Source organism: Homo sapiens, chromosome 1, assembly GCF_000001405.40.
Source record: "Homo sapiens chromosome 1, GRCh38.p14 Primary Assembly".
Classification (NCBI taxonomy): Eukaryota; Metazoa; Chordata; class Mammalia; order Primates; family Hominidae; genus Homo; species Homo sapiens.
Genome location: NC_000001.11, coordinates 60,230,683 through 60,256,191, shown reverse-complemented (window position 1 = coordinate 60,256,191; position 25,509 = coordinate 60,230,683). Strand labels below are relative to the sequence as shown.

Below are 25,509 nucleotides of genomic sequence, written 5' to 3'. Positions count from 1 at the left end.
TTGAAGTCAGCCAAGCCTGGGTTCACCTCTTGCTTTTTCCCTTAGTGTCAGTGGCATTAGGTACTTTCTTAGCCCTTTGTAGTCTCAATATCCTTGTCAATAAAATGGTAACAGTATTTCTTCATAATTTTTTCATGAGGATTAAATGGGACCATGTATGTACCATGGATAGTAAATGGGATTTTTCTTGTTGTCCGCAGACTGGAGAGTAGGCCATCAAACAGAAGTAAATATGCATTACATTTCCAACATTATAGAGCAAGAGAAACCAAAGGGCTACCCACAAGCGAGTGTCTCTTAGGCTGAGGAAGAAGTAGGCAAACAATTCTACTACCACTGATGGTCAACTAGCTACCACCACCCACACCCCCAGAATATAAGAAGGAAAATGATAAAGTGGAAAAGCAAATATGATGAGTCATGATGAGTTGACCTAGTGTGGGGAGGGCTGCTCATTTTTCCTCCTCATCCCAGAGGAAATGAGAGGCCCCAGGAGAATCAATGCTAAAGAATGGGAGCACCTTCAAGAAGGAGAGACTTGCATCTCATTCCCTAGTGAGACAACTGTTAATGCAGAAGATTCTTTATTTGCCCACTGTCTCTTTGAACAAGATAAAAGAGAGTTATAAGGAGAAGGTGGAGTAAAAAGTGGAAATTTCCAACAGGTTTATGTCCACCACTTGATGTGGTAAGAATAAGTTAGTTTCCTGTGAATAAAGAGCCCCCAGGAAAGGTGACTTGGGTTGAATTACCTTGCCAGTGTCACCCAAGAGAACAACTCCACACAGGCATGGGGACCAGGACTGCAAGAGGCTGAAGCATATTGCTTATGGTATTGCTGTATGTATATTTTGTGGGGGAAAAATTGAGTAGGAATGGAATATTCCAATTATGAAACTGTGCAAGAACTCATACATGACCCCTACAAAAGCACCTTTGTGTGGAAACCTGCCACACAGAATAATTTGTGTTAGCCTGAGGAGGAGTAGAAACATCCAGGAGAAGATACAACTGCAGACCCAGTTAAATGTAAATGTTTTTCCTCATTTCCCATAAGCCTTTCCGCCTGAGGAGGTAGAACAAGAAGGAGAGGAAGAAGGACAACACCCCACATACACACACCTGCAATTCCCTGGAGCCATGGGTCAAATTTGAACTGGGAGAAGGAAGAGGGTGACTAATCAGTTTGGGGGTTAACTCTGTACCAGACTGAATTTTTAATAATTTAAAATAGTTATAAAGTCATAGCACTCACTTCAGAAGTTAATACAATATGATAATAAAAAGACTTACTATGACATATCTGGTGGTAGCGGTTAGAAAAAAAAAATTTCGTGTGTATACCCCAACCAACTTTATTACTGGTTTTATCCAGTAATGTATGTCAAACACTGGGCAAATAATATCTCTTCAATAAATGTTAGTTTTATCTTCCTTTATGTTATAGCATGTATTGGTTTTCTTCTCTGATTATAACATGAATTATAACTGTTTAGATAAACCAGCTGGAAAAGGCAAAAAAATATGAAGAGCATATTGAATATAAAACATAGCCCTCTTCCTACCTTTAAAAGCAGCATTGAGCAGCTCACTTAGCAAGATTTTCCTTAACATGAACCCATATCTGTTCCCTGAAATTCCCATGCACTGGTCCTAGAACTGCCTTCTGGAGACACAGAGATTCAGTTTCCTTCTTCCTCCATGTGACACTCTTCTAAAAATGTAAAAAGAGATAGTTACTTTTTTTTAACCCCTCCCTTTTATTAACAGGGGAAACATTTCAATTTCTCTCACCATTCTTTATGGATTCTGGTTTCCAGTCCTTTCCTATTCTGGTCAATCAATGTCTGAGGTTTTCTTGCTGGGCCAATGTCACTCTTTAAATATGACACAGAACCTAGCCAAGCCCCAAAGTTGACATGGGCTGATTGTTACCGCCTTCATTTGAACACTATTCTTAAATTTGACATTAAGTACAGCCAAAGAATGTAAAGAGACCAATTTGTCAGCTTGAAAATATTGCTTTAGATTATGCTGACCTATTTTCTTCTTAGGAACTTCTCAAAAAAAAATTCCTGGCTGCTTGGTTTTGAGATTTTACCAATTCAACAGAAGACATTTTTTCAGTCTCTTGAAAGAAATAGAGATTCCTGATGTCTAGGCGTAAGAAAGAATTGTTTCAGAAATAGGTGCTAGGAGAGTTAGAAGCTCTTTTTTCTCCATTCATTCATTCATTTGTTGTAAATAAGAAGGATATATTCCACAGCTTACAGTTGATAAGAAGTATAGTTAAGGCTTTTTTCAAAGCCCTGACCATGCCTATCACAGGCACAAATCATCATTACCATCCTCATCATCCTCTCCACAGTAATCCCCACTGTCACTATCATCATCATTATTCACATTGTGAAGGGCTTGGCATGTACCAAGCCTCTTTCCACAGGGGCATTTATCACAGTTTTCTTCTCTGCCTTTTGCTTATATTAAAAATTACATAATTCCTACTAATAGTGCACATTATTCAGAAGAATTTACTAAGTTTCCCACGGGGACGATCTCATTTAACTCTCACAGTTGCCCAATAAGGTAGAGACTATTGTTCTCTTACTTTACAGTTGGGAAACTTGAGGCCTAATAAGAGCTAATAAGTGGTAGAGCCAGTTTTATTCCCAATAATAAATGACATCAGAGTGTGTGCTTTTTTCCACGCTTTATTAATTTCAAGTGAAATAAAATATACATGTGCTGTCAAGTATAGGTGGTACAAAAATATGTCAAATGCTTAAGGATGCTTCTAAGGTAAGCTGACCTACAAATTGATTTGTTAAAATAATTGAAGGCGAAGTTGGAAGTTGAAGGAGAATGGTCCCTGCCTCAATAGTCAGCTATGGTTTGTCTTCTCCAGTGGTTTCCACAGGAAGTTGCAGTTTCTGTAGCATAAGGGGAAATAATAAAACTGAGTAAAGACTTATGTTTTATGTGACTTGTCCACTCCTGTATTTATTCAACAATCTTATTTAGAGTGGACTACAACTATGCACATGTATTAACTATCTCACCTTGGAGAGGCCATTTAGACTCTTTAAGTTTGGTTTTCCTCATCTGCAAGCTCAGTTTAATTAATAATCCCTGCCAGGATTAACCTCAGTGGTTTTTTGTGACCATCAGATCAATTCATAGATGGGAAAACTTTGTTATTACTAAAGAGTTACATAATCTGATTATTTTTGTTGTTACAGTCGTAATTGTTACCAATATTATTACTTTAGGAGTCCTAAAGAGAAAGTAGAGGGCAATAAGCTCTGTACCATCAAGCCGTAAGACTTTACATTTTTGTATTTTGTGCTTCTGTTTCCTCAAAATAACAATAAAATAGCAATTTACAAGCCCAACATACCTCATAAAACAACTATGGCTATTTATGAAAAATTTTTAAACTGCTTTAGAATTTAAACAGATTAACAATATCTCAGTAATGCATCAATATGTACTGGCTGTTTACTGCAACAAGCTGGTTTATTCAATACCATACTCAGCCCTGTTCATACTCTTTGTATCTAGAAAGGCCTAACTTCCCTTAAAAAATCTTTTGGCTTGGACACTCTGGGAAATGTGTCCCACTGGCAGAGAGAGACTTAAAATGATAAAAGCTGCCATTTATTGAGCACTAATTATATATACCTAATAATATTTCCAATACTAGCCTATGAACTTATTACTATCTTATTATTCTCACAAGAGGCTGCCATTTAAAATAAGAAATGGAAGGCAAGACAGTAACATTTATTTAATATCCACTGGGTTCCAGGAATGTAATACACATATATATATACATATTAGATATAATAGATATTATATATCTATTATGTCTATTATATATAAAATATTTTATTTAATACTCATAACATGTCTATGAAAGAAGATGCCTTCAACTTAAATATATGGAAATTTTCCATTAGAGAAATTAAGTGACTTGCCTATTTTGTCCTTCACTCAACTAGTAAGCAGCTCAGTTGAGAGTCAGTCCCAGAGCAGTCTAGGGCAGAGGCCATGCTCTTTCCACCACAGTGCCCAATTGGTAGTCATACTATGGACTGACTAGTTCAAATTCTGCACTTTACTCACGGTGCTCTTGAGGCCTCTCAAATCGTCCCAAGATGGAAAAGCAAGAGAGACAGTTGTGGAAAAAGTCTCCTACATAGGTGTTCTGAGCCTAATTGTGCTCCTTCCCAAATTTATATGTTGAAGTCCTAACCCACAATACTTCAGAGGGTGATTGTTTCTGGAGACAGGGTCTTAAAAGACATAATTAAGGTTAAATAAGGCCATATGGGTGGGACCTAATCCAATCTGACTTGTGTCTTTATAGGAAGAAAAATTTGAACACAAAGAGACACCAAAGATGCTAGTGCAGATAAGAGACCATGTGAGGACAGTGAGAAGACAGCTCCTTGCAACTTAGGAGGGAGGCCTCAGAAGAAACCAACCCTGGTGACATATTGATCTCAAACACCTCGCCCTAGAATTGTGAGGAAATACATTTTTGTTGTTGAAGTCACACAATCTGTGGTATCTTGTTACACCAGCTCTGGAAAACGAATACAGGTGAGGAAATGAGGACAAACATGAGAAGACAGTGAGAGAGAAGGCTAGTCAGCAAGAGAAGGCCATTCCTACACCCTCTGCCCTGCTAAATTCTCCTTAGAGATCATCACCCTGTCCTAGGTTCCATTCAGACCCTAAAGTGTGAGTTTCTTGCTATAATCAATTTTTTAACATATAAGAACTATATTAAAAAAAAAATCCCAAGCCACTGGAATCCCCCTGCCCTCTCCTACTCCGACTCCTAAGAAGGAAAGCCCCAGTCATAATGAGGAATGGGGTTGGAGTGGGGAAGTGGTGATATGAGGGGAGGGCACTCAAGGAAACTGAGGGAAACAAAATCAATATATCAATATGCATTTTAACAAACAAAAGATATGGAGATGCCAGGATGTCATCTTTCCAGAGAGGAGAGCTTCAGGCTTGAGAAGAGTGCAAGGAGGAGAGTAAATGATGAGCCACTGCCTTGGGCTCTGAGACTTGGGCTCCACTGATGTGTAAAGCAGATCTTTCAGAACTTTCATTGCATGTTGTTGACGGTATACACATAACTACTGAATTTTTTTTTTCTTTTTTTTTATTATACTTTAAGTTTTAGGGTACATGTGCACATTGTGCAGGTTAGTTACATATGTATACATGTGCCATGCTGGTGCATTGCACCCACTAACTCGTCATCTAGCATTAGGTATATCTCCCGATGTTATCCCTCCCCCCTCCCCCCACCCCACAACAGTCCCCAGAGTGTGATGTTCCCCTTCCTGTGTCCATGTGATCTCATTGTTCAATTCCCACCTATGAGTGAGAATATGCGGTGTTTGGTTTTTTGCTCTTGCGATAGTTTGTATCGCAAGAATAACTACTGAATTTTAAAGAAAACTTCAATAAATTTCTACAATACTTCTTGAATAAGATATTTGTTTCATTTAGATGCATTGCTTTGCTTTAAATGAACTAAAGGCAACCCAGCATATTTAAATTATACACAAATATAATGATGGAAAATAAGTTCTGTGTTTTTAATTGGGGATTAAGTCTTCCATCATGGTTGTCTTTTCTTTCTATCATTGTATTGAAACGCCTGGGTTGTGTGTAAACTCTGTGAGGTAAAGGGACAGCATTTACTTTGAATCATCTAAGTATCCAGGCACCTAAATCCTACCCAAATATACCTACTGGTTTCCCACTTGATTTATTCTACAGATAATTGTTGAGAACCTACAATGCTAGGCATTATTTTCTATATAACAGATATAAGATAAAAGTGTTTTCTGCCCTCATGCAGCTTACAATCTAGACTAGATGGAAGATGTGTGGGGGAACAGTTCCCCCAAATAAACATTCTTTGAAGAGAAAGAAGCTGGAATGTCTACAATATCATATACTTGGTATCTAATTTAATTTTCTCTTAAAATTGCTATGATATAGGTACTTAGTATGTCACTTATACAATAAAAATGTTGAAACCAAAACCATTGGGTAATTTGTTAAAGATCACACATCTAGTAGGAGGTAGGCTAGGTCTAGTGTTCATTGGCAGTGTTCTTAAAAATACACCAATCTCTCTTCTTTGAAGGCAAGGCCTTTGTCTTACACCTTTTGAAATTTCTATTATGCCATAAAAAATGACCCACTAAAAGATAGGTTTAATTATTTGGGGTTGAATAACATCTTCACTAATAAATTATTAAAATTTCCTAGGGATTAGTCCATCTTTCCAAGATTTCTATTCTCTACCTGCATTAACTTTCTAGGTTTCATCACTTTAAACACATGATACCTATTGAATTTTTGACTCTAGTCATAACTGAATTCTGGACTTATATACCTAACTTCCTAGTTGAAGCCTCCCTGGGATGGTTAATAGACATCTCCAACCTAACATGTTGAAAGAGAGTTCTTGATTTCCCACTTCAAGCCAGAATTACCCCCTTCCCACCCTGTTCCCCACCTTAATATACTCAGTTGTTGTATTAGTCAGGTTCTCTAGAGGGACAGAAATATATATATATATATAAAAACTATATGTATATATAACTATATATATAACTATATAACTATATATATATAACTAACTATATATGTATATATATAACTATATATATGTACATATATATATATGGGAGTTTATTAAGTATTGTCTCACATGATCACAAGGTTCCATAATAGGCCATCTGCAGGATGAGGAGCAAGGAGAGCCAGTCTACATTCCAAAACTGGAGAACTTAGAGTCCGATGTTTGAGGGCAGGAAGCATCCAGCACAGGAGAAAGATGTAGGCTGGGAAGTCAGGCCAGTTTCTCTTTTTACATTTTTTTGCCTGCTAATATTCTAGCCGTGCTGGCAGCTGATTAGATTGTGCCCACCCAGAGTGAGGGTGGGTCTGACCTTCCCAGTCCACTGACTCAAACGTTAATCTCCTTTGGCAACACCCTCACAGAAATACCCAGGATCAATACTTTGTATCCTTCAATCCAATCAACTTGACACCCAGTATTAATCATCACAAGTCCACCCCTTGTCAACTTGAACTCATACACATCTCCTCAGATCTTACATAATCTTCAAGTAAAGACAATAATCAGGTCATAATTATGCCTAACATAACACAACTCTCCTTCGTACAACCAGAAGCGCACCAATCCCCAACCCAAACGCTATTACATAAAGTTAACAATACTTAAATGCTGATGTGAAGTCAATAAATCTTATGTCACATGATAAAGGAAAAGGAAATAAAATGAAGATATTTTCTTAATATAAGTGTACGCATGCACAAACATGTTTTTAACAAAAGGAGGAAATACTCATAACAACTACAGTCCTTGTTTCTGCAGCTGGTTACGTGGCCATAGCTGGTATTGATGACCTTCTTCTATTACCCATTCTGTATTCCCTTTGCCTTCAGCAAACACCTCAGCAGGTCATGGGTTTTTTCCTGGTGGAGAGACCCAAACCTTCATTCCTGAAAGGTCTGGGTCATTTGTAGTCTTTCCTGGATTGGACTGTTGTAGTTTCCCATTGACCTTAATCACAGGGCATGGTAATACTAAGAGACACCATAATGGGTCTCCTGTATTCCATGCATACTCTTCCTTACCTCTGTTATGTAGTAGTAGACTGACTTCATCTTGATAGTTTGGGTCAATCACCCCAGCCAACAGTGTAACTCCCTTCTTAGCCTGTTGACTTAAAGACAGGAAGAGCCCAAATTGTCCAGGTGGCAATCTTAACTTCCAGGTTAATGGAATTGTTTTTGTGCCTCCTGGCGGCAGTGTTCCTCCCTCTGAAACTAAGACCTCTAGGCCAGCAGAATGTAATGTCCCAGGAACAGAAAGCAAACATTTTGCTAGTGGATCACTGGGGGTAACCCACTTCCACTTCCATCCCTTGATTCATGGACCTGTGAATCCTAGCTACGGGAGAAACAGTGCCATATATTGGACACTGATTCAGAGCATACATGGCCTTCTGGAGAACTTTGCCCCAGCCCTGCAAAGTATTGTCACCTAGTTGGCATTTTAATTGTGACTTCAAAAGGCCATTCCGCCGTTCTATTAATCCAGCTGCTTCAGGATGATGGAGAACATGGTAAGATCAGTAAACTCCATGAGCATGAGCCCACTGCCACACTTCTTTAGCTGTAAAGTGAGTGCCTTGGTCAGAGGCAATGCTGTGTGGAATACCATGACAGTGAATAGGCATTCCATGAGTCCATGGATGGTAGTCTTGGCAGAAGCATTGAGTGCAGGTTAGGCAAACCCATATCCTGAGTAAGTGTCTATTCCTGTGAGGACAAACCTCTTCCCTTTCCATGATGGAAGAGGTCCAATATAATCAACCTGCCACCAGGTAGCTGGCTGATCACCCCGAGGAATGGTGCCATATCAAGGGCTCAGTATTGATCCCTGCTGCTGGCAAATTGGGCACTCAGCAGTGGCCATAGCCAGGCCAACCTTGGTGAGTGGAAGTCCATGTTGCTGAGCCCATGCATAACCTCCATTCCTGCTAGCATGGTCACTTTGTTCATGGGCCCATTGGGTGATGACAGGAGTGGCTGGGGAAAGAGGCTGAGGTGTGTCCACAGAATGGGTCATGCTATCCACTTGATTATTAAAATCCTCCTCTGCTGGGTCACCCATTGGTGAGCACTCACATGGGGTACAAATATCTTCACAGTTTTTGGCCACTCAGAGAGGTTCATCCACATACCTCTTCCCCAAATTTCTTTGTCACCAATTTTCCAATCATGCTTCTTCCAAGACCCTGACCATCCAGCCTCACCATTGGCTACAGCCCACGAATCAGTATATAATTGCACATCTGGTCATTTCTCCTTCCATGCAAAGCGTACAATCAGGTGCACTGCTCTAAGTTCTACCCACTGGGAAGATTTCCCCTCACTGTTGTCTTTCAGGGATGTCCTAGAAAGAGGCTGTAGTGCTACAGCTGTCCACTTTCGGGTGGTGCCTGCATATTGTGCAGAACCACCTGTGAACCAGGCCCTAGTCTTCTCTTCCTCTGTCAACTGATAATAGGGAACTCCCCATGAGGCCATCTGTGTGGGCTCGGGAAGAGAAGGCAAGGTGGCAGAAGTGGAGACCGTGGGCATTTGAGCCACTTCCTCGTGTAAATTACTTGTGCCTTCAGGACCTGCTTGAGCCTGATAATGTATATACCACTTCCATTTGATGAAGGAATGCTGCTGTGCATGACCCACTTTATGGCTAGATGGGTCAGAAAGCACCCAGTTCATTATAGGCAGTTCAGGTCACAGGTGACTTGATGACCCAGTCAAATGTTTAGTTTCCACCAAAGCCCAGCAACAGGCCGAAAGCTGTCCCCCATACTGTTCTTCTGGTAGTGAATAAGTCTCATGAAATCTGATGATTTTATCAGGGCTTTCCACTTTTGCACCTCTCTCGTTTTCTCTTGCCGCCACTATGTAAGAAGTGCCTTTCACCTCCCGCCATGATTCTGGAGCCTTCCCAGCCATGTGGAACTATAAGTCCAATTAAACCTCTTTTTCTTCCCAGTCTCTAGTATGTCTTTATCAGCAGCAGGAAAACGAACTAATACAGCTGTTCAAGCCAAAACCTTGTCATCATCAACTTCTCTTTTTCTTTCACACTTTATACCCTGTGTATTAGCAAATCCTTCAGGCTCCCCACTCAAAATTTATCTTGAATGCTAACTCTTCTCACCATTAACCCCTACTTCCACCTTTTGGTATAAGCCAGTCTCTCTCCCTCTTTCTTCTGGATGGCAGCAGTTAGCTCTTTTAAAAAAGAATTTTAATTGTTATAAGTTTTATTTTTAATTGGCAAATGATAATTACATCCATTTAGGGGGTGCAATGTGATGTTATGAGGTGTGCTTACTTGCCTGCCTGCATCTTCTGTCACCTTCCCAAGGTTTATTCTCCACTCCCCACTAGAGTGCCCCTTTTAGCACAAAAGTCAAACCATGCCCCTCCGCTGCTCAGAATATTCCTATGGCTTTTCCTCTAAGAAGTAGGTATAGTAATTCTCTAACTAACCTCTGGCTTCCTGTTGAACCTCACCTCCTACCACTGTCTCCTTTGTCCCTTCTGCTCTTGCCACATTGAACTCCATGCTATTCTCAGAAAACACTAAAGTGCTCTCATCTCAGAGCCTTTATCCTTGCCCCTGTCTCATAACCAGTCCCTAAATTTTCACAATGGCTCCATTAAGGTTTCTGTAAAACATCATGTCCTCAGAGACTATATATACTTCCCTGTATGTATATGCATACACTATAGTAGGAGCATAATAAATGAATATATGAAATGCATTAGAATCAGAAAATGTATGTAATAACCAAAATTGGATAAAGCTGGGGCTCCTTCTGTTGCTTTAAGAGCTCTGCTCTCTCTGCACTGTTATGTGAATGTTCATAATTACTCCTTTGCTAGTTTCATCACTGTGATCAGGCTCAGAAGCTGGCAAGGAGACCACATAAAACCTTACATCATCACTGTCTACAGCCAGGAAAGTAATGGCACATGTTGCCCAGGATCCATTTGCTTTTCCCATTTGTCTTTAGTTACAAAGTTGGCAGCCATGGGAGCATCGAGAACCTTGTTATGCTCTGGAACAAAACTGATTCTAGATGTGAGGTCAGAAGAAGGATGTGCTGTTTGGAAAGGAAAAGTTTCTTGGACAAAGTGCCAAAGTCAGACAGAGCTGGGCCATGTGCCGTTGTGAGATGTCAAAGGAGCATGCTCTTGCCTGTATCCTTCTCTCCCTCTGTAGAAGCTGAACAACACAGAATCAAAGTCACCTTCATGCATTTGGACAAGATCCCAGCCCAACCAGCTGCATGAGAAAGGCAGTTTTGCTGTCAGTCCTTCAGAAATGAAGTGTTGAAAGATTGGGCATGGTATGGACACATTTTTCTTCCTCCATTTTCTTTGAGTTGTTGTGACATCCATTCATGGCTGGGGTGTGGTTGTGTTCTGGTCACAATTCATTTACCATCAGTTTACAGGTTTACAGTTCACAGTTTGCAAGGCAATATAATTTACTCCTGGTTTACAGCTTTCTTTCCTTTAGAAACAGAGGTGGGGTTAATTAAGAAATGTACCCAAGGCCTTTTTTTAAATGTAAGAATTATTGAGCTTCAATTTTAATTTAGTCTTTGGGACCAGAGAGTCCTGAGTTTGAATGGCTGCCTCAGCACTTAAGAGCCAAAGGACTTTGGGCCTGTCACGTCTCTTGCCTGGCCTCTGCTACTCATCTCTAACATTGGATGATCTTGAGGTCTTAATGAGGAAGCACATGCAGGATTCCTGACAAACTATTTACATATATTAAATCTTAAATAAGCATTATTTCTATATCCATTTGACAATTTTTACCTATCACCTACTATGGGCCAGGCATGTTTGGGAGCAAAGGACACAGAAATAAACAAGACAAAGCCTCTGTCTCACAGAACTTTAAATTCTCATATGGAAGATAGACAATAAGCAAGAGAAAAAAAACTTCAGATTATATACATTAGTTGTCAGTCTCCCTTTTGCCTAAGACCCTGAGTCTTATGCTAAAACGAAGGTACCTCTGTTTATATATGCATACATAAATATACATGCATACACAGAGAACCTGCTTCCCATCATACTCTTATTACTTCCTCATAGATAGAACTCAGTAGTATTGTGTGTTCCTTTATTCTTTAATTCAAACAATCACCTTTTATCCTTTAATTCAAACGGTCTTTTTGAGGACATACTATGTGCTAGATACAGCATTGGACGTTGGAATTAAAAGGTAGTAAGAAATATCTTTCCTGTCAATTGGCTCATGATTTTGAGGTAGAGACAAACCGCCAAATACACAATTACAATACCATATATTGCTTGTTCTGTGGAATGTTCTAGTACTCTGGTGATCTAGAATGTTTAGAGAAAAGTAAAGAACATCTCATGTGGCCCAAGAGGAGGGTGAAATTTTTTTTTTGGTAACTCAGATTCAAACACCTAAATAAGAATTTTCTAGGAACAGAGAATCATTTGTGCAAATAAATAACATAAACAACAGTTTGATATGACTGACCATTAGAGAGCTTCTATTCAATTCAACATATTCTGCTCTAATTAATATGCTGTCAATAGGAAATAAGAGCAAGGTACAGGGGAGTATAAAAGGCCAATGAATAAAGCGAAGATTATAACATGTGGGTGTTACAATATAAGGTAGCAAGAAAAAAAAAAAGGAAGAGGCCCCCAGCAGAATCTAAGATGAGAATGAAAAATTTGATGAAATAGTGGACGTGGGGTCTGAAGTGAGAAATTTCAGGACAGTGGGACTAACTCCTACAAGTTTTTAGTGGGAAACTTTGAGAAATTCCAGAAATTTCCAGTAATTTGTTATGACTAGAAGGAACTCATACTTCATAACTCAAATACCACTGTTTGAAGGAGGCGTTCCCTGAGCCTCCAGACAAGCTCAGTGTCTTCCTCTATCCCCAGCTAGATAGTGCATTCTGTGAGGATCAAGACTCTGCTTCTGTTCAATAATGTTCTCTGTTGCCTCTCACTGTGCCTGGCACAGAATAGCCTTCAATAAATACTAACCAAAAGAGTAACTGGGGCTGGGTGCACTGGCTCATGCCTATAATCCCAGCACTTTGGGAGGCCAAGGTGGGCTGGTTGCTTGAGCTCAGGAGCTCAAGACCAGCCTGGGCAACACAGTGAGACCTTGTATCTACAAAAAATAAACAAAAGATTAGCTGGGTGCGGTGGCATGAGTTGGTAGTCTCAGCTACTTAGGATGTCAAGTTGGGAGGATCACTTCAGCTTGGGAGGTTGAAGCTGCAGTGAGCTGAGATTGTGTCACTGCACTCCAGCCTGGGCAACAGAGTGAGACCCTGTCTCAAAAAAAAAAATAGCCTAATAAATAGACTAATATTTCACACTAAGAATTTGAAATTCAAAGTCTGCGGTCTCCAAACTTTTGTTTTATCACTTACCCTAGTGAATAAATGTTTTTAAGAACTCATTCCCCATATATGCATATTTGTTCTATATAGAATTGCATGTTTTGCCCTAACAGATTACTTACGTTATAAAACATGTAAAAAAAATTGGAGGGTGGCGCCTCCAATAGCAAGAAATAAAACCTGGACAAGTGGAGATTAAGATGAAAATCAAGAAAGTTCTGGGGTTTTACCTTTAACATCTTCACTAATGAGATGTGCAACAACGGGAAAATCACTCCCCTCTCTGGGCTGTAGTTTCTCCATCTGTAAAATAAAAAGTAATAGCAGATGATCTCTAAGGGCCCTTGCAGCTCTGACATTTTATGGTTTCTATAAGGTATTCAGAAATTATTCTTGAGCTGCCTTTGTCAAAAAGCAATAAAATTTAATATAATATTTTAAAATCCACTATTAAAATACTAATGGACTTAAATGACAAGGGTGTTAAGAAGAACTAAATGAAAAGCTTGGGCTTTCTGACCTAATCAATCAACATAAATGGATGGCAGAAAAGAGTACAGAGGATGGAGTCCTGAATATTATCAAGAAAATTGACTTTTGAATTAAAGAGTCAAGCAGCAAGAATTTACCAATTGTGAAAGGTTCAATGTTAAGGATCATGTGGCACGAGCTTGAGGAAGGGCAGGACGAAGACTCACCTGGGGCAGACAGTGATGAAAACGAAGCGGGTACAGATTCAGTAATGGAGGACAATGAACTGGGGATGTTCTGTGATATGAGAGGCAGAGTCTACAGAGAGCAGCCGTGATCCAAAAATGCAGACCACTATGGGGCTGTGCAGACACAGAGAGGAGCTGGCTGTTGGAATAGGAAGACTTCCAAAGATGGTTAAATCTATCTTGCTGAACTCTTTCTTCATCTGTTGGCTACTTTGAATGAACTAACTCAACACATAGTACTGATTTTAAATGTTTACTTTATAATAAAAACTAATGTACATAGAGATAAATATAATACATATGTATATTTATACAAGTATAAATTCTGGACCATCCATTAATGTACTTGCCTATTTTAGCATTAATATGATGATGTGCAGTATTTTAATTGCAGCAGCTTTGAAGCATTTTATCAGTTAGGAATTGCATTCTTCTTTGTGTAACCTAGTAACAGAAAACTAACTATAGTAGCTTAATGAAATAAGAAATTTATCATTCTCATGTAAGAGGAAGCTGAGAGTTAGAGTTCAGGGTTGATGTGGCCCTTGTTGACATTAGGAACAGAAATTTTCTAACATTTTTCTCAAATATCCTTAGTGTGGGTTTCATCCTCATGTCATTAGTTCATGGTTGAAAAATGATTGCTTCATTTCCAGCAACACACTTCTGTTCCAGGCAAGAGCAGAAGGATAGGCTATAATGTTACCTAAAAGTGTAGAAGCGACTTTGGAACTAGCTAATGAGTAAAGACTGGAAGAATTTTGATGTGCATGCTAGTAAAAACCTAGGTTGCTATGAATAAGTGATAATTCTTCTGGTAAGGGCTCAAAAGTAGAGAAAATCTATACAGAAAGCCTCAGTCTTCTTAAAGAATATCCAAGTGGACATGAACAATATATTCATGGGAGAAATATAGATGGTAAAGGCCATTCTGATGAGGTCTCAGATGAAAATGAGGAACACATTATTGGAAACTGGAGGAAAGGCCATCATTGTTATAAAGTGGTAAAGAATGTATACCATTCAGGACATAGGCATGGGCAAGGACTTCATGTCTAAAACATCAAAAGCAGTGGCAACAAAAGCCAAAATTGATAAATGGGATCTAATTACACTAAAGAGCTTCTGCACAGCAAAAGAAACTACCATCAGAGTGAACAGGCAACCTACAGAATGGGAGAAGATTTTTGCAATCTATTCATCTGACAAAGGGCTAATATCTAGAATCTACAAAGAACTCAAACAAATTTACAAGAAAAACACAAACAACCCCATCAAAAAGTGGGCGAAGGATATGAACAGACACTTCTCAAAAGAAGACATTTATGCAGCCAACAGACACATGAAAAAAATGCTCATCATCACTGGCCATCAGAGAAATGCAAATCAAAACCACAATGAGATACCATCACACACCAGTTAGAATGGCGATCATTAAAAAGTCAGGAAACAACAGGTGCTGGAGAGGATGGGGAGAAATAGGAACACTTTTACATGGCTGGTGGGACCGTAAACTAGTTCAACCATTGTAGAAGACAGTGTGGAGATTCCTCAAGGATCTAGAACTAGAAATACCATTTGAACCAGCCATCCCATTACTGGGTGTATACCCAAAAGATTATAAATCATGCTGCTATAAAGACACATGCACACATATGTTTATTGTGGCACTATTTACAATAGCAAAGACTTGGAACCAATCCAAAAGTCCATCAGTGATAGACTAGATTAAGAAAATGTGGCACATATACACCACAGAATACTATGCAGCCATAAAAAAGGATGAGTTCATGTCCTTTGTAGGGACATGGATGAAGCTGCAAACCATCATTCTCAGCAAACTGTTGCAAGGACAAAAAACCAAACACCACATGTTCTCACTCATAGGTGGGAATTGAACAATGAGAACACTTGGACACAGGAAGGGAAACATCACACACTGGGGCAGTTGTGGGGTGGGGATAGGGGGTAGGGAAAGCATTAGGAGATACACCTAATGTAAATGACAAGTTAATGGGTGCAGCACACCAACATGGCACATGTATACATATGTAACAAAACTGCACGTTGTGCACATGTACCCTAGAACTTAAAGTATAATAAAAAAAAGAAAAAAAGAAAACACTAGTAGACACAGAAAAAAAAAAGAATGTGATTGAATTGTATTTGTGTCCTAGTGTTTTATGGAATGTAGAACTTTTGAGTGATGAAATAGAATACTTAGCTGAAGAAATTCCTAAGCAAAGTGTTGAAGGTGCTGAATGGCTTCTCCTGAATGCTTATAGTAAAGTACGAGAAGACATAAACAATTTGAAGATGGAATTTTTAATCAAAAGGAAGCAGAACTTGAACATTTGGAAATTCTCAGCTCATCTATATATATATATATTTGAGATGATGTCTTGCTCTGTCATCCAGGCTGGAGTGCAGTGGTGCGATCTCAGCTCACTGCAACCTCTGCCTCCTGGGTTCAAGTGATTCTCCTGCCTCAGCCTCCTGAGTAGCTGGGACTACAGGCATGCGCCACCATACCTGGCTAATTTTTGTATTTTTAGTAGAGACAGGGTTTCACCATGTTGGCCAGGCTGACAAACTCCTGACCTCAAGTGATCTGCCCGTCTCAGCCTCCCAAAGTGCTGGGATTACAGGCGTGAGCCACTGTGCCCTGCTCATTATTGTACAAAATAAGAAGTGTTTGAGAGAGAACACCAAGAGTGTGTACCATTTGATTAGGAGATTAGTGTAGATCAGCAAGGTGCTTATTCATCAAGATAACGGAAAAATCATACTGAAGGCATTTCAGAATCTTCAATTCTCCCTCTTTCATCACGGGCCTTGGGGGAATAATGATTTCAAAGGAGGCCAAGACATTGGTGCTTGCTGTCCATTACTTCCTCAAAGCTCTTTGGCTGGGAGTCTTGGGGGCTCAACTCCTAATCAGCTAAGCTGAGGAGGCCGGATGTTTGCCTCAGTAAGATTGGAGGGCAGAGCATCAAACCAAAACAAATTATTTCCCATCCTTAAAGTTTTAGACTTAGTTGGGACTCATAATCCCTTTTATTTCTATTTTTCCATTTCGAAATGGGAATGCCATTCCTATACCTATGGCACTATAGTATTTTGGAAGCACAAAACATGTTTGATTTCACAGGTTCACAGCTGAAGAGCAATTTGCCTTAGAATGAACTGTACTTTGAAACTCACTCATATTGATTTATATATTTAGAAGAGACTCTGGACATTAAACTAATAAAATGATGATGAACCGAATTAAGATTTTGGAGCTATAGGGATGGAATACATGCATTTTACATGTAAGAAGGACATGAATTATGGAGGGCCAAGGTGAAACACTACAGTCTGCATGTTTGTGGACCCCTAAAATTTGTATGTTGAAATCCTAACCCCCAAGATGATGGCGAGGTCTTTGTGGAGGTGATTAGGTCACAAGGGCAGAGCCCTCAAAAATGGAATTAGTGTCTTTATAAAAGAGAATCAGAGAGCTCATTCTTCTTTTTTACCATGTGAGAACACAGTAAGAAGGCACCATTCATGAACCAGGAAACAGGCCCTAACTAGACCCTGAACTTGCCAGAGATTTGATCTTGGACTTCCTAGTTTCTAGGAGTGTGAGAAAAAATTTCTGTTTTTTATATGCTACCCAATTTATGATATTTTGTCATAGCAACCCCAAAAAACTAAGACAGTGCTTGTCTTAGAAGTAAGGTTATTTTAAGATTTCTTGTCATTTCCAGTTTGTCGCTTTTTATGCCAATGTTGCTAATTTTTAATTTTACTTTTATTTCAGCTTTATTGAGGTATAATTTAAGCGCAAAAAATTATAATTATTTTAAGTGTACTGTTAACAAGATATGACAAATGAAAAAAACCCTATGTAACCACTTGCCCCTCAAGATACAGAATATTTACATCATTCCAAAAAGTGTCCTCAAGATACTTTTCAGTCAATTTCTCCACCTTCAGCCCGAGACAACCACTGTTTTCCTTTTTGGCCCTTTAGTTTTGCTTATTTTAAAATTTCATATAAATGGAAGCACACTGTATTTACTCTGTATTCTTCTAATCAGTATAATGCCTTAGAGAATTATGTTTTGAAGAATCATTCTGTTTTGGAAAAATCATTTATGCTGTTGCATGAATCAGTAGTGTGTTCTATTTAATTAATGAGTAATAACCCAATGTATAAATAGACCACAATTATTTTTATCCATTCACCTGGTGATGATATTTGGGATAGTTTCAATTTTGAGCTATTATGTACAAAACTACAACGAACATTTGTGTACAAGTATTTCATGCACAAAATGTTTTGATTTCTGTTTAGAAGCTAATTAGTGCTAGAATTACTGGGACAAGTAGTAGTGTATGGTTAACTTTATTTAAAAACTACTGACGTTCTCCCAAAATAGATATAGTATTTTATACTCTCAACATAAATCCATGAATGTTCCAGATGCTCTCACTTTTTGACAAGACTTAGTTTTTGTCATTCCTTTTAATTTTGGCCATTTTAGTGAATGGGTAGTAATATATCCTTGTGCATGTAACTTACATTTCCCTGATAACTAATGACCTTGAGCATCTTACATGTTTCCATTGGTCACCATCTTCTTTGTAATGTGTCTGTTTACACCTTCTGCCCATTTTTGAATTGAGCTATTTGTCTTTTGATCATTAATTTGTAGGAGTTCTTTTTCTATTCTTGATACAAGGTCCTTGTCAATATGATTTGTAAATATTTTTTTCTGGTCTGCAGCTTAACACTTCTTTTTCTTTTTTAAAAATTTCTTTTTCACAACATTTAGAATGATATGCAACACTTTATTTTCTTAATGATATCTTTCTAAGATCAAAACTTTAAGTTTTGATGAAGTCCAACTTATTATCCTTTTTTAAAATAGATAATTCTTTTTATGTCTAAGAGATCTTTGTCTAGCCTAATGTCACAATGAAACCAACCATACTGGTCTTTGTGCTTCTTGAAAAATTGCATATCTTACCCTGAGCTTTGGGTACTGCAACTGCTATTCAATCTGCCTGGATTATGGAATATTTTTTCTCCAGATTTTTGCTTCAATCAATTAGAGTTCAATTCAATCAGCTTTCTGCTCAATATCACCTTCTCAGAAAAACTCTATTCCTCCCAAGTTATTCTACTGTTTTTCTATAACCACTTCTAAAAGTTTTATGTTTTAATTCTTAAAGATGTGTTGATGATCTGCTTTGCATTAATTTTCTTATATGATATGAGGTTAGCATCTAAATTCATCTTTTTGCATGCAGAAATCTAATTATCTCAGCATTGTTTCCTGAAAATATCAAAATGCCTTGTCATCTTTGTCAAATATTAATTAACCTCAAATGTAAGAGTAAAGTTCTGAATTCTAAATTGTGTTCCATCCATACGTATGTCTAACCATACTTTGGTATCGCACTCTCTTAATTATTGTAGCTTTATAGTATTTTGTAATTGGAAAATGTGAGTCCTTCAACTTTGCTTATTGTTGTTATTCTGAGTCATTTCAATTTTTATATAAATTTTAGAATCAGCTTGTAAATTTCTGTTAAAAAAAAAACCAGAATTTTGCTAGAAATTTCACTGAGTCTGTAGACAAATTTGAGAAGAATTTCTATCTTAACAATATGGAGCCTGCCAATCCATGAACATGGAATATCTCTCATTTTATTTAGATCTTTAATTTTTCTCAGTAATGCTTTACAGTTTACAATGTACAAACCTGACACAACTTCTTAAAACTGTATTTCCAATACTTTGTTTTTGGTGATACCATTGTGAATGAAATTGTTTTTTAATTTCATTTTTGGATCATTATTGCCAGTATATAGAAACACAGTTTTGTGAGTGTATGATCTTATATCCTGATTGTGCTGAATTCATTTGTTATTTTTTTGTAGATTCCTTAGGACTTCCTGGTTACAGGACTATGTCATTTGAAAATGAAGATAGTTTTATGACTTCCCTTCCAATCTGAATGCCTTCAATTTTATATATTTATTTATGTATTATGTTTGTATGTATCCATACATTGCCTTATTATGCCACCTAGGAACTCTAGAACTATGTCAAAGTAATGAGAGTGGACATCTTTGCCTTCTGCTTGATTTCCGGAAAAATGCATGCATATTTTACATAACATAGATGAAATTTAATTAAAAGGATTTAAATAACCTCTTTTATTATTATGAGACAGGAGTCCTCATCTAAAGTAAAAAATCTGAGTTTAATTCCTTTCCCACTTAAAGTTTTCAGAACTGTTTTTAATACCAACCAACAAAGTTCATTTTTGTTTGTATGTTTTCTCTACCTAGTCCAGCTTGACCACCAGCAGCCATTTTAATTTCAGCTTCATAAGATAGCTGAAGAGATATATTCATTCCATCAGGCCTCCAGCAGACACAGTAGAAAAAGAGGAAGCAATCTCAGGATTTCTCTCAGGTCCTCCTGGACACGTAACCAGGACTCAAGTGTCTGACCAAAGCAACGTAGGAAAAGGAAACAAGCAGAGAAAGGGAATGGTGCTTATGTGTTTTAAACTAGCATAAGATAACTTAAATAATCCTATGGGAAGTTATTCTATTTTATCACATACTAAGTACTCGAATGGTAGCTTCTGATATTAGTATTACTACTATTAGTATCATTAACCTTATAATTACTATTATTATACATTCAGACTAAACTCTGTTCCGTGAAAAGGGGCTTGATCCTCTCACTTTTCTAATAAAGTAAAAACAGCCCATTAGAATAAAAATCCATTAGGAGTATAACTGGTGATGAAAATGTACAAATCTGTTGACAATTATGACTGCATGTCTCCTGTGTGCTGTTCCCAGCCATAGAAGTGAATGGTCATCAGGGGAATGCAGGAGTGCTGACGCTGTGAAGCCTCAGCTCCATGGGTTGGGGTGACCCCTCCCCAGCTGTATGATGACAAAGCTGTCATTAGTTAGGGGAGCTCTGAATCCCAAGTGCAAGGACCTTATGCAGTGCTCTAGAGATAGGAAATCCCTTCTGTCAGCTGCAAGGAGAGTGGGCAAAGAAAGCCAAGGAGTCGAAAGGGGGAGGGTTTCTGTCCTGCCTGATCCTTGGTCATCTTCGTATGAAGTTGCAGGAAGTCTGCTCTGAGAATCATTGCACAGGCCTCCTCAGCAATAACAAAGAGATCACCTCGAGATGAGGGCATTCTGTGGGTGTGAGCTCTCTTTGATTCCCTGCCAGGCAGCCACAATTTATTAAAGGTGGGTTTGTGAAGTAAGGGTTCTGCCAGGGAGAGATTGGCACAAGAGAAATGAAGACAGCTAATTCTCAGGGGGTCGTCTTTGGCAAAATCCACTATTGAGGCCTCATGCTACTTGTGCTCATAGCTGCTGAAAACCAAGAGTGCCATCTGCAAACTGTGATTCATAAACACTCTGTCAGTCTGCCATCTACCCTGACATCATAAAATAACAAGAAGCTGCATTGTAATAAAGGGGAGGTTTGCAGCCTACCAATTAAATGCATCTAATTTATTTCTCTTACAGCTGAGGCTTTATTTATTAGTAAACAGCTGCATTTGTTACACTTTTTACTCAAAACGTGCCAACTGGCACTTTGAATGATCCATTAATCCTAAATAATCATCTGTGTGCTTTATAGATCCTAGATATATAGGTCTATATGTATAAGATGGTTATTAAAAAGCTAAAGCCTAACCTTGCCAGTCAGCTGGAGGGCGTAGTTCTGGGCATCAGGGTGGGTGAGTTAATGTGACATGAAGTATGTGGACACAAATGAGGTCTGGCTGAGATTTTGGAAAGATTTTGCATGTGGCTTTATTTCTCCCTTTTCCCCAAGTATCTGTAGAGAAACATGCGTGTTAATTTTCTGCGATTGGGCGTTGCTACATTCTTGTCAAAGTCTAATTAGCTTGGTACTACCAGAAGCAGATTATAGGGTTACCTGTTTTTAATTGGCAGTGAACGGATGTGGGATAAGAAGGAAAATGTGTGCTCCCTCACCAGCTGAACTTTTGCAGACCCTGCTAACTGGTGCGTGCTTCTGAGGTTAGAGTTATACCATTTTGGCAAAGTGGATGCCAGTACACACACACAGTTCATTTATTTGAAAATGACTATAGTGCATGAGGGTAAGGTCCTATTTAATCCAGTTTTTGATTGTTTCCTTGATACACAGGAAAACTAGGTAATTGAGAATCACTGTCAGGGAGAAGAGCTGCATCAAGCAAAAGCTAAATGTTTTGCTGGACCACCTTTAAAGGGAGACGATTTATTGAATATTAACTTAGATTTATCCATAACCATTGATTAAAAAATAACGTTCAGTTGCACTGCTTTTTTTAATGCCAGTGGATTCACATTGAAATAGGTCATTGAAGGAAATATTTTCATCTCTAGAAAAGATTGGTTATCCTTCTGAATGTTTTGTTTTTATTTTCTGGGAAGTAATTATAATCTATTCAGAGAAGTATAAATGACCGACTTTGGCCTACTTTAAACTCAATTAAATTAGAAGTCCTCTATAATATGACGTTGCACTTATAGTTGCTTAAATTATGTGGCTATGTGATGGTCACTGGCATATTATTTGCAAACCAATATTCTATTATGGTGTTTTTGAATTAATGGGCATTGATGGAAATAATCAGACTTTCATTTGCTCTTTTGTTTTTATTTTTATTTTTATAGCCATTAGCTTAGGCTAGGCATGCTATATAACTTACATAGTAATTAAGATTTCAAATTTAATAAAAAACTGAAAAAGAAATATGGAAAGAGGATACAGATGAAAGAATCAAAATACAATTTATAAGTTTTGATGTTTTTATATCTCTCTCTTTTTTTCTTTGCTAAATAACAAATTTACATATAACCTTTTTCATGGCCCTATACTAACAGGATCATTACAAGGTATGTGCTAAAACCATGTCAGGAAACGAATGGATGATCATCAACTAGACACATGTTTATCTGTTAGAAAATACTTACAAGTCAAATGTGCTATGTTATTTACAAAGTTGGTTCACAGTGGTTAAAGATGTGGGGTTTTCAACAAGACTTCCTAAATTATATTCCTATTCTATACATAAAAATTGTGAGACCTTGAGTAAGTTACTTAATGATTCTGAGCTTCAGTTTCATCATTTTAAAAATGTAGTTAATCCCAGTTCTTGTTTCAGGGGGTTATTATAGGGATTGGATGAGCTGAATCACAAGTGCTTAGCACAGTATGTAGGACACATAAGCTATCAATAAACGTTAAATTAACAAAGAACTCAATCCCTGTACAAGTAATAACCAGTAGTTAAGATTCTACAATGGGCCCTTTCTGAGATCTCACATTTCTAGTAGTTTTAAGTATTCAGGTGAATGCTAATGTTACCAGGGTAGCAGGTTACTTTACACAAGTCTCTTACTAGACAGTATCTTCAATACAGTAAGTAGTGTGCTGGAGCAGGCCATTTATGTTTGTCTCTTCCTAATTCTGTGTTTCACAGAGTCTGTGTTTAGTGATACCACAATGGTAGTTTGAAATCAGACCTGGTGAGATTATTTACACCAAGGAAATTAGCAAATGCTACAAATTTGAGATTCGTCCACTCCCCTGGTTTTAAACATTTATCAGCTCATCTTTCCTATAGAGAACAAAGCCCAAATCCAGAAAATGAGACCATTAAGTAAAGCCACTGAGAAGCCAATTGACAAAATCCATGTAAGTGTCTTACTAAGTATAGTTCTTGATGTTCTCACTCATGGTATTATCACTCTCAGTTTTCACATAGAACTAACAAGTTTTATTACTTAGTGTCTTTCTAACAGTACACTAGAAGCAGCAAATTAAAAGAGGCCAGAAAGTTGGCAAAAGAGAAACACACATCTGAATGACATGAGCATTCAAAGACATATACAGTCTGAGGTTGTTTGCTATAGGAAAAACAAAAGAGCCCGGAGTACCCTAAAGTTATCTTCTCACAGCACTTCAGAACTCCTGTGTTTATAATGAACTCCTTAAATCATCAAGGAAAATAATAAATTATGTTTTAATTCTATTGCTTCCTCTGATAGGTTAGCGTGAATATATTTAATCATAGTCTAGGAGTTACAATATTAATGCTGATCTTGGGGACTACCATATCCAGCAGGTTTCAAATGTGTTAACTATAGAACAATATTTCAAATGGTCTATTTATTACACAGAAGCCAAGCAGTTAAGAGAAGGCAGCTTTGGTGGGAAAAGTGTTTCTGTTTTGTAGTCTTATCCTTTCACAGTGAAGCATGTTACTTCTGTGAAGGCCTTTGGGCACTCTAGTACAGACCCAGAAACACCCATAGAAAATTCTCCCCACATTTTCCAGGCTTAGAGATCAGAGGAGATATTTATTTAAATCAACCACAATGTATTAGGGACCCAAGCTTAGCCTGACTTTCAGCTGGGGTAAGGAACCACATGAGGTGAAGTTTCCAGGATTAAGCCAGGAGTTGAAAATATTTATATTCAATAAATAACAACATTCAGTTTTGGATAATATTTTAAGCTAATGATTGGTAATATTAACATAAATCATTGATATGTCACTTGCTGTATGTCAGGCATTTAATCCTCAAGAATTCTATATGATAATTATCATTTTAAATTCTATTTTACAGATGAGCAGTCTGAGTCTTGAGAAGGTTAAAAAAACTTCCCTAAGGTCACTCAGGTTAAGTGGCCAACTGCTCACAGTAACTTCAAAGCCCATGTCCCAAAAGAAGATGCTCAATTGTTTCCCCTATGAGCTATATTAACAAGGTGCAAAGTCTGTCAATTGCTAAGACTGACAAATCTGGAGGGACCAGAGACAAATGTCAAACACAGGATACAGAACTAGGGCATAAAGCTGGCAAGAGAAGAATGAGCTAAGATACTGGAATCAAATGAGAAAACTAGGAGAGTGACTTGATTTTATGAACTAGAAGGAGGAAGACACATGCAAATAAGTTGTACTTAAGGAATCCAGAATTGGATGGGAAGTTTGTGGCAGAATTTTTGAGATATTAAGTGACTTTCCTAGGGCCATATACTCAGTTAGCAGTCCAAGTCCAGTTGTTTATCAACTGCATTATAGTTATGAAAGTCCTCTTGAAATTAATGTGATAATATTAATATGCTTTGGAATCAAAAAGAAACGACTACAAGGAAAGTTAATTTTTGTGAACCATATGAAGCCAAATAATTGAAATAATCCTTTGTTCCATTTGGAATATGGATTTAAATGTATGTCACTAAATAATTTGAAATCCAGAGCATAGAAACCAATGTTTATAACCCTTTACTTGAATTAAGTTTTTGGTCTTTACTTACATTACTTGTCTTATCAGACTGGGACCAGAGGTTCAGGAAAAGGTGATCCTCATAGTGGCCCAAATTAGAGGAAATTGCTGCCAGATAATCATCATATTTATACTACCAAAACATTAAACTATTGAATCAGGGAACAAACTAAATTCTATATACCCTCCACACATTTAACAACATTAAAATTACAGTTGGCCATAAATATTTTGCTTTTTTTTCCCAAGAGCTCCACTTTAATGTTCTGCATGGTGTTTGGTGACCAGGCTGCAGGTACAGATGAAACAAAGCATATTCATCTGCTGTTTTGTCTACTCCTTCCCTGACCTTCCCTTCTGCTGAGAAACTGTAT

The 25,509-nt window shown here is 37.9% G+C and overlaps 2 long non-coding RNA genes across 2 annotated transcripts in view; one reads left to right on the top strand and one right to left on the bottom strand.

Annotated features, from left to right (window-relative positions):
- Positions 1-25,509, bottom strand: part of LINC02778 (long intergenic non-protein coding RNA 2778) — a 144,047-nt gene that overhangs the window by 2,680 nt on the left and 115,858 nt on the right. The window contains exons 2-3 of the long non-coding RNA XR_947430.2: positions 13,295-13,367; positions 1,566-1,714 (exon numbers count right to left, since the gene is read on the bottom strand). This is a non-coding gene — a long non-coding RNA (long intergenic non-protein coding RNA 2778). The remainder of the gene's footprint in view (positions 1-1,565; positions 1,715-13,294; positions 13,368-25,509) is intronic.
- Positions 1-25,509, top strand: part of LOC105378761 (uncharacterized) — a 94,372-nt gene that overhangs the window by 20,904 nt on the left and 47,959 nt on the right. Inside the window, exon 2 of the long non-coding RNA XR_947431.2 lies at positions 4,370-4,605. This is a non-coding gene — a long non-coding RNA (uncharacterized LOC105378761). The remainder of the gene's footprint in view (positions 1-4,369; positions 4,606-25,509) is intronic.